The following is a 10,512-nucleotide window of genomic DNA, read 5'->3' as shown; positions in this document are numbered from 1 at the left end:
TGATATTTCCAATTTCATCCATGTCCCTACAAAGGACATGAACTCATCATTTTTTATGGCTGCATAGTATTCCATGGTGTATATGTGCCACATTTTCTTAATCCAGTCTATCACAAACAATCACTTTTTCAAACAATCATCGATGCAGTGGTGGAAAGGAAGTGTTAACAGTCTTTAGAGCGGGCTTTACACTAAATTCTGGCCCTCTGACTCTCACCAGCCAGGGTTCTTGGTCTTTGGCTCTTACTCTTTTGTTTACATTTCTGGAAGATTCTACAGCCAAGCCCAAGAAAGCTTTCCTTACAGGAATGGTGCCCCTTGAAAAAAACTAGAGGATGAGCTTGTGGGTCCGATCTGCTGGATGACTTGGCTTCCTCTCCTCTCTTTCAAAGCTCAGGCAGGCATACTGGAAGTCTTATGGCACCCGGGGTATTGGGCTTCCTTGTAGTTGAATGCCAGGAATGTTGTTCTTGTTTTCGGCCTAAAAGGAAAACACACATGTATTTATGTCTCTTGGATAACAGGAGTGCAAGACCTTCTCTTTTGATTCCCTCCAAAGTTTTAAATTCAGCATCAGATGATTATTTTTAAAAAATTAAAATCTGCCCCAGTGGTCGGGTGCGGGGAGCAGATGAGAGCCACTATCATATCATTTTCACTCTGTTGTCCAGGCTGGAGTGCAGTGGCACGATCTTGGCTCACTGTAACCTCACCTCTTGGGCTCAAGCCATCCTCCTGCCTCAGCCTCCCAAGTAGCTGGAACTACAGGCATGCGCCACCATGCCTGGCTAATTTTTGTATTTTTTGTAGAGATGGGTCTTGCCACGTTGCCCATGCTAGTCTTGAACTCCTGAGCTGAAGCAATCCACCTGCCTTGGCCTCTCAAAGTGCTAGGATTATAGGCGTAAGCCACCATGCCCGGCCTCAAATTTCATTTTTAGTAGTTTATTTTTGGTGTTTTGTTGTATATTGATCTTGTTTACTAGTAAACTTGATCAGTTCCCTTATTTATAGATTGTTTTCTCTGAGAGAAGTTTCTTAGTATTAGTCTTTCTTCTTCCTCAGTGGAAGAATTCATCAGTACAACCAACTGGATCTGGAGATTCCTTTGTGGAAAGACTTAAAATGATAGATTCAGTTTCTTTAATAGCTAAAGCACCATTCAGATTTTCTGATCTTTCTGAGGCAGTTTTAATAAGTTTTATTTTTCCAGGAGTTTGTCCATTTCATCTAATTTTCCAAATTTATTGGCCTAGGGTTGTTCTAATATCCCATTAGTAACTCTTTGATGTTTGTGGGGTGTAGGCCATTTTTGTAGTGAGGCCATTTTTGTTCCCTTACTTATGTAATTTGTGCTTGATTTCTCTTTTTTTATTGGTCTTGCTAGATAATTATTCCTATTTTTTCAGTGTTGAAGGGAAAGTTACTGAGTATCAGGCTGTCTTCCCCAGGCCTCCTCTCTTCAGGAATCTTGGCTATTTAGGTCCTGGCTGTCTTGGCAGGCTCCAACCCAGCTCCACAAGATTGCCAGCTTCTTTGCCTCTTAGCATTCATTCTCTGCCTGCCTTCTCAGCAACCCTACTCCCTGACCCCCTACAACCCCGGCCACCCTAGGAGTCATTAATGCCTTGAGGGCGAAAGAGGTATAAAGAATATTGGACTCACTTAGTCAGCTTCTTTTTTCTTTGGAATCTTAGCCTTTCAAATTCTGGATATTTTTGACAGCTCTCTGATAATGTTAAACAGACAGTTTAAATCTCAGACCCTTTATCTATCACCCTCCTACCCTCTCATCATACCCTCCTCAGCCCTAGACAACCATTAATCTACTTTCTGTATCTATATAGATTTGCCTATTCTGGACATTTCATATAAATGGAATCAGATAGTAAGTGGTCTTTTATGACTGGCTTTGCATAATGTTTCAAGGTTTCTCCACGTTGTAGCCCTTCCCGGTATTTCATCCTTTTTTATTCCTTGGCAAATTGTCACCATCCTTTCAAGTTTGGATTCACTTTTAACATTTTATCCTCTGCACTTTCAAGGTTGTGAAATATCTTTGAGAGTTTCTTTAACCTGACATTTTTGCCAGCATCCCTTTCTCTGGGACATCTTTGTGCTTTTGTCATAGCCACTCTCTTGTTTGAGAGCATCATAACCTACTTTCCTTAACTAATTCTTGAAATCTTGTTTCAAATTTCACGGCAGAAAACTTATTTTCACCAGCTACTTAATCAGATAGCTTACTGTAAATCATTCATTCTGGCATCTGAAATGATGAAACCAGTCTTTATTGGCAGTAGAAGTTTCTTTGGCTTCCTTAGAATCACTGTTTTCTTTCAGCATGGCAATGATCACACTTTGGGATGCTAGCTGAACTGATTGAGATTATGTTTTATTGCAGCCCTCGATTCAAAGTGAGAGGTGAAGCTGACTGGACTTCTGGGTCGGGTGGGGACTTGGAGAACTTTTCTGTCTAGCTAAAGGATTTTGTAAATGCACCAGTCAGCGCTCTGTGTCTAGCTAAAGGTTCGTAGACTCACCAATCAGTGCTCTGTGTCTAGCTAATCCGGTGGGGACCTGGAGAACTTTTCTGTCTAGCTAAAGGATTGTAAATGCACCAATCAGTGCTCTGTGTCTAGTTAAAGGTTTGTAAACGCACCAATCAGCACTCTGTAAAAACGCACCAATCAGTGCTCTGTGTCTAGCTAATCAGGTGGGGACCTGGAGAACTTTTCTGTCTAGCTAAAGGATTGTAAATGCACCAATCAGCGCTCTGTGTCTAGTTAAAGGTTTGTAAATGCACCAATCAGCACTCTGTAAAAACGCACCAATCAGCGCTCTGTGTCTAGCTAAAGGTTTGTAAACACACCAATCAGCACTTGTAAAAATGGACCATTCGGCTCTCTGTAAAATGGACCAATCAGCTCTCTGTAAAATGGACCAATCAGCAGGATGTGAGCGGGACCAAATAAAGGAATAAAAAGCAGGTCACCCCAGCCACCAGTGGCAACCTCCTCGGGTCCCCTTCCAGGGTGTAGAAGTTTTGTTCTTTCGCTCTTAGCAATAAGTCTCGCTGCTGGTCATTCTTTGGGTCCGCACCACCTTTAAGAGTTGTAACACTCACTGCGAAGGTCTGCAGCTTTACTCATGAAGTCAGCATAGACCACGAACCCATCAGAAAGAAGAAACTCCAGACACATCTGAACATCTGAAGGAACAAACTCCAGACACGACATCTTTAAGAACTGTAACACTCACTGTAGAGTCCACGGCTTCATTCTTGAAGTCAGTGAGACCAAGAACCCACTGGAAGGAACCAATTGCGGACACAAAAGCAGAAGTAAGCACTCCATTTCAACCACATGTGGCTTTCTCTTCCTACTGCAATTTAAGCTAAAATATGTTGAAGCTGCTTTACCTCATTTTTTATATTCAGCGAACTTTGTCGGCATAGTTCATACCCTAGCTTCCTGAAGGCCTAGTTATTGTCCTATCTTTGCTTTGATGTTGCCATTTTCAAATCTTCTCATCACACCAATTTCAATTTTCTGCATTACCACTTTTCATTTCTTTGCTGCACTTTCAGATTTGTTGTAAACTTTTATATGAATTTATCACTGGGGACGAGAAGGCGATACAACTCTATGCTTTATTGTCTGTACCTGAACTGAATAACAGATGCCTGGTGACCAGTCACTGACAGACTTTAAAAGAAGTGATGTGATTGGTTACTGATCATGATGCCCATCTGTTACTGATATGGTGATTTGTGGGCTTAGTTTAGCGCAAAGTTTGTATTTTATGTGATTACTCACCATTAATATACAGTGGTAAGTGCACTTTGAGTTGTTTTGTTGGGTGACTGATGTTATTTAACTAAACTATGGTAACTGAAATTTGTACACATTAGAACCATGCAGAAGGTGGGACGTCTGTAATCGCTTATCTTTAAACATAATAAAAATGTTCAAACACACTCTCTCATTATAATCATCTACTTAATAATGCTGGGTCTCTAACTCTGAATATCTTATTTGCATCAGAGTCTTAAGGCTGTACAGTTCTGGTTTTTGAGTTTAAAAATTATGGTATTGGCTCTGAGCTCTTGTGATTATCTTCCCAAAATGAGGTCTTCTCCTTGCTTCCTCCCTCTGCTAGTGAGTTCTCCAGCAGCTCTTCCTCTGACATGTAGCATTTCCTTTCATGGACAAAACAGCAAGGCTGCTCTATCTCTAGCTCTTGTTCTCTCTCCCTTTCTTTATGTTCTTGTGATTTAGAGCTGCCCTCCAGAAACAAATCACACCCCACACCTGGCTTTATAGCTCCTAGCTTCCAATGAGGATGAAAGTTTTGCTTTGCCACCTACAGTGTCAGCCAGCTAGACCCTGAGTTTTCTAATGAATAACTTATAAACACTGAAAGCACTATTTTTCCTGAAGGATGCCTCACAGTGACTGTTACAACATTTCTTTCAAACCTCAGGCCAACCTATTATTTTTCCCTTTAAGAATCTAAGTTTCAAAAACTCTTCTATAGTATTTAACATGAGCTTCAAAGGCTCGCAAAAGGAAAGGGTTCCTGAAGAGGCTTTGTCTCTCTTTTTTTTTCTTTGGAACGTTTGATACATTTTCAATGTAACAAAATAGGTTTTAAATGAATCCAGAGAGATTCCATGTAGCTCTTTTGTACCTCCAAGCACTTAAAACATAACTAGGCATATAGGAAGCATTTAACAAATGCTTGTGGCTTTATTGATTGAACTTACAACCTGCAGGCATACTTTTATTTATATGTAAATTTATCTCTGCAAATTGATTTTTGTGGGTTGGAGAGGGAGATGTGATATACTGAATTGGGAGGAGGGGAAGAAAACTTGCTCTGTGAAGATTCCTATTGTGGGTCATTTTATCAGAATGACAAATTCAAACATCTTTGTTTGATGATGCTTTTGTCAATAGGTTGTTTGCATCATAACTACTCTCTTTAACTAATTCTTGGAATCTTGTAGGGAAAATGTCTTCTGTTTAAATCTGTATTTTAAATACAGCCACCTATTAGTGAATGATAGCCATCTATTAGCGAAAAACCTTTGCAGTCAAAATAAAGGATTGGCATTTAAAAAGATAAGGCAATGAGAATTGGGGAAAGGGATCTCATGAGCATCCTTACGACCTACCTATTTTCTGGAGGGAAAAAGCACAAAACCTAATGGGAATTTCTTCTGGAGGTGTGCTGGTGGCCAGGCTGTCAAGTCCTCCAGTAGTTGGAAGTCTGGGCTATGTTCCTTTTCACTTTGTCTCACCTATGATACCTTTGCTATGCTATGAATTCAGTAGACACCGAAAAAGTGTATAGTGAAGGGAGAGCTTCCTCTCCTTTCTGTTGTTATTTCTGAGCAACTTAGGGCTATTTGAAGGTAGAGATAAATCCGTGAAGTAGTCTTGTTTTTGTTTTCTAAGCCTGTAGCAGAGAAGGGGCCTATTTACACAGGCGGGTGGGTGTGTCTATGGAGTGATTAAATCATGCTTTCTGTAACACTTTAGAAGATCCCTTCTGGGAGGATCAAAGGTCAGTTACAAAGCAGTTCAGGGCCCAACATGAAGGTTCTGAGAGCTTATGGTGCCATGTGGTGATATTGGATTTAGGAACAGAAAAGCATAATGCTAGAAATTCCTGGGTGACATGGTTCATGACATGATTTAAATTAAGGGTAAAATATTGGCAATGAAAGTCTCCATAATCCTAGTGCTAATTGCACTGGACCAAAGCACCATTCAGGAGTTCCTCAGTGCTTGCTTAATTTGGTTTTTGTTCATCCATGTTGTTTTAGATGGAAAGTTTCTAGAAAGCAGGATTCGGGTTTGTCGTGAATGGAATTGTGTCCTTCCCAAAGTTGGTAGGTTGAAGTCCTAACCCCTAATACTTCAGAATATAACTATATTTGGAGATAGGGCCCTTACAGAGGTAATTAAGATAAAATGAGGTTCTTAGGGTAGATCCTAATACAAATATGACTGGTATTGTAAAAAGATACTATTAGGACATGGATATGAACAAGGGAAAGATTACGTGAAGACACAGGGAGAAGAAAACATCTAAAAGCCAAGGAGAGCAGCCTCAGAACGAAACCAATCCCACTGACACCTCGATCTTGAACTTCTAGCCTCCAGAACTGTGAGAAAAGAAATTTGTTATTTGAGTCACTCAGTCTGTGGTCTTTGTTATGACAACCCTAGCAAACTAATACAAGGTCTATTTAAATCTCTCTGAATAGTGCCAAGTCTCAAGACAATATGTAAAATAGATGCCTTTAATGGAGAAGGCAGAAATATGACAGATGAACTGAACTTACTTTTATTTTTTTCTCGTGGCAAATGTTGCATTTAAAGGCCAGGAATTAAAGCGGGGAGAATCAGATAGGATCTTAGATTTATTATTATCTTTTATTTTACAACCGAAGATCTCTCAACTCCCTCAGAAGTAAGTCTTTGATAGGAGGCCGGGGATGGGGGGGAGTCCCAGACTACTTTGATTCCATTAGGGATTAGTAGAGATTATTTTGAGAAATGACTTTGGAGAGATATTTGGAAATTATTTGTATTTACTATTATCTGGTCTAAGCAGTGATTTTTAAATAGTGTAGCACCTTGGTTTTATCAGTGTTCAGGTAAGAATGAAGTTGTATAGGATGTGCTAAAGATTAAGGAGCCTTTGAGCCAGGAGATCCCAAATGGGCAGAGAGGAGTGGGCTCTGAGCAGAAGTGGGACCCCAAATGCTGCAGATGGTAGGGCTGACAGTTTCACCTGGGTTTCTGTTTCTTGTTTAATGGACTTTGTTTTTCCAGCTGTAAAAGTAGTGTAAGTTCATTATAGACAATTTGGCAAGTCCATGGAAATGCCAATCAGAAAATAAAAATCTCAAGTAATCCCAGCAAGAAAAAAAAAAAAAGTTGCAATAATAAAACAGGCAGTATATAGTATATATGTGCTTTTGCCCTAAAATGGGAGTTCCCTGTCCCCACTCACAGGACATGCGACAGGGTGTGGCTGGTCTGTTTGGCTACTGTGAGCACTCAAACCCCTTATGGGACGGGGAGCATGCAGACGGGCAACTGCAGGAGCTGGGGCAAGTGCTTTCTTGGCCTCCAGCGCCATGGAAGCTCTAGGGGTGAATGCCTATGACTCCCAAAGCCCAAATGGGTGTGTGTTACAGTGCGCTCTTTGAGCTTTGCCATCCATGTCCAGCTTAAATATCAAACAGCTCAGTGGACCCTCTACCTTTTTGCAAGGCAGAGGGCCAGTGTGACAGCTTTCTGTATCCTGAGCTCTTGTCCGGCGTCCAGGAAAAATCAGATCGCACATGGACTTGAAAGACAGTGAATGCAGGGATTTTATTGGGTGATTGAGGTCGCTCTCAGTGGGGTGGGTGGGGAGCTAGAAGGGGGATGGAGTGGGAAAATGATATTCCCCTGGAGTTTGGCCATCTAGCGCTGATCTCCTCTCTGACCATGCCCAGCTGAACTCCTCTCAACATTCAGATGCCCCTTCTCCTCTCTCCTTCTCTGCTGCACCATTCTGCCGCTCTTCTGCTCTTCTGTTCATCTGCTCATCTGCTCATGGAGCTTGGGGCTTGGGGTTTATATGGGTACAGGACAGAGGGCTTGGCAGGCCAAAAGGCAACATATGGGCCTGAAAATAAGAATGCCTGTTCCCATTTAGGGCTGCGGCTTTCCAGGCATGGGGGTGGGGCCTTTGCCAGGGAACTGCCCTCTTCTACCAAGTACTTCCCTGTCTCCTGTCTGTATCAGCCCCATCTACTATTGTAGCACTTCCTACCCTGCTGTGAGTCTCCCTACTCTTTCTCCCTATTGCAAGTGATTCCCAGGGAGATATTCTCCTATATCCTCACGAACACAGCCTTCTCATGATCTCCATCTGTCTATCTAATTATCTATCTATTTACAACAGTTTAAAGACTTGTTCAATATGTGTCATAAGTTTTAAGTGAGTTTGAATGTTTTTATTTGTTTACCTATATTTCATAATAGGGCCACAGTAAAAGAAAATTTGTAAAATAGATTTTAAAAGATTACCCCTGATCCCATAATTCTAAAACAATTGTTAGCATTTGATTGATTTTCCTTTCAACCTTCTTATCCCATGCACAGGAACTTTTCTCCAAAAGTTGCAATTCTTTTTTTTTTTTTTTTTTTTTTTTTTTTTTTTTTTTTTTTTGAGGCAGAGTCTTACTCTATCACCCAGGCTGGAGTGCAGTGGCACCATCTCGGCACACTGCAGCCTGTGCCTCCTGGGTTCAAGTGATTCCCCTGCCTCAGCCTCCCGAGTAGCTGGGATTACAGGCACCCCCACCATGCCCAGCTAATTTTTGTATTTTTAGTAGAGATGAGGTTTCACCATCTTGGCCAGGTTGGTCTTGAACTCCTGCTCTCAGGTGATCTGCCTGCCTCCGCCTCCCAAAGTGCTGGGATTACAGGTGTGAGCCACTGCGCCCAGCTCCCAAAGTTGCAATTCTAATGTATACACAAGTTTCTATACTTCTATATATGGAAGTATAGAACTTCTATATATACTTCCATATATAGAAGTATAGAACTTCTATATATACTTCCATATGTGGAAGTATAGAACTTCTATATATACTTCCATATGTGGAAGTATAGAACTTCTATATATACTTCCATATGTGGAAGTATAGAACTTCTATATATACTTCCATATGTGGAAGTATAGAACTTCTATATATACTTCCATATGTGGAAGTATAGAACTTCTATATATACTTCCATATGTGGAAGTATAGAACTTCTATATATACTTCCATATGTGGAAGTATAGAACTTCTATATATACTTCCATATGTGGAAGTATAGAACTTCTATATATACTTCCATATGTGGAAGTATAGAACTTCTATATATACTTCCATATGTGGAAGTATAGAACTTCTATATATACTTCCATATGTGGAAGTATAGAACTTCTATATATACTTCCATATGTGGAAGTATAGAACTTCTATATATACTTCCATATGTGGAAGTATAGAACTTCTATATATACTTCCATATGTGGAAGTATAGAACTTCTATATATACTTCTATATCACTAAAATGATGTAAAATAATATACATCATTTTAGTGATGTATAATATAGCACTCAATCGAAACAGTAGTTTACTTATCAGTTTCTCAATTCTTAGACATTTGGATTGTTTCTAGTTATTTGTTTTTATAAACAACATGGATATCTTTTGACAATAGATATATTTGGACATAGGGTTTTTTTTTTTCTATTTTGCATTTCTTCTTTAGAAATTCCACTTCTTTTGAAATTCCAAATAGCTAGTAATTCCCACTGGCTGAATTACTGTCAAGGGGCATGCTAAGTTTTGTGCAGAAACTTAGAATATATCTTATTGATGGCAGTAGGATCTCTTAAAGAGAATTTGTATCTGGAGCCACTCTTCTTATTTTAACCTTTTCCAAGATCCCTGATGGATTACAAATACTTCTGTTGTCTTTGAGAAAGTCATCTATCTAGTTCATAGCTAGTGTATTTTACCTAATACATTTGAAGGATTGGTCTGATGAAAGACAAAGATAAAGATGGGACTAGACAAAGAGTGTCTAAGACTCATATGAGGAATTCGTGGAGTGCCTGAGGCTGCTTTATGTCCTCAGTGATCCCTCATGTATTGGTGAAGGGAAGTGTGAACCCAAGTAAGTGGGTGCAGAGAAGCAGGTCTGTGGCACTGTCCAGGGAGGAACCCTGGGCGTGGAGACTGAACTACTGCAGCTGTGGGTCTTGTTTGAGGAACCAGATCTCAGGTTTTTCTAGAGTTTAGGGGAATGTCTCTCCTCAGCCCATTATATTTCCTTTGTTCTGAATAATCTTCTGATTGGCTCCTCTGGTATCTTGATACGATGATGGTGCCACCATGTAACTCACTGTATATGCGTTGTGATTCCAGCTATAAGGAGGCTATTCTACAAGAATATATACCTCTCTCTATACATTGTGAGCTTACTTCACTTCCAATGCCATCTTGCTGTCTTATTTTTATTTGTTATTTGCCTCTTCTGTTTTTAAATTTTTGATTTATTTTCTCTGATAACTTGCCCACATATTTCTAAGTGGCCTTAAATTTGCTGTGGAATAAGGTGTGGTTTGGATGCAGGATGAATAGATTGGCTTTCTAGTTTTAGGAATTGGTTTGGCTCATTTAGTATGAGTTTGTCATAGAAAGGCTACTCTTCTTGGGTCTAGTGCTGTCAGACCTGACTGAGTCAAGACCAGAGAGTAGATCCTGATGATTCAGCCCCAGTGCTGTCTTGGAGGACCTGTCATTAAAACACCAGCTGCCCTGAGTCACTCCACTTCCCCATTTTGTGCCCCTTCAAAAAGGCAAACACAGAGTTAGATAATATTTATGAAAGAGTTAAAAGCTCAGTTAATAGTAAAGCATACTTACTGCGTTTGTCTTTTCT

At 40.2% G+C, this 10,512-nt stretch overlaps 2 annotated features.

Annotated features, from left to right (window-relative positions):
• Positions 630–830: a silencer, noted in NCBI's record as "fragment chr9:32908907-32909107 (GRCh37/hg19 assembly coordinates)". NCBI's record gives its function as "represses an EF-1alpha promoter that drives an FKBP-Casp9 reporter gene in an ReSE screen in phorbol 12-myristate 13-acetate-treated (for megakaryocytic differentiation) K562 erythroleukemia cells {active_cell/tissue: K562(+PMA)}" and the evidence as "EXISTENCE:reporter gene assay evidence [ECO:0000049][PMID:32094911]".
• Positions 2,048–3,247: an enhancer, noted in NCBI's record as "BRD4-independent group 4 enhancer chr9:32906490-32907689 (GRCh37/hg19 assembly coordinates)". NCBI's record gives its function as "activates an origin of replication core promoter dependent on BRD2, P300/CBP, MED14 and CDK7 cofactors, and independent of BRD4, by STARR-seq in HCT116 cells {active_cell/tissue: HCT116}" and the evidence as "EXISTENCE:reporter gene assay evidence [ECO:0000049][PMID:35650434]".

Source organism: Homo sapiens, chromosome 9 (genome assembly GCF_000001405.40).
Source record: "Homo sapiens chromosome 9, GRCh38.p14 Primary Assembly".
Lineage (NCBI taxonomy): Eukaryota > Metazoa > Chordata > Mammalia > Primates > Hominidae > Homo > Homo sapiens.
Note: the sequence above shows the minus strand (reverse complement) of the source record. Positions and strands in the feature narration are given on the sequence as shown.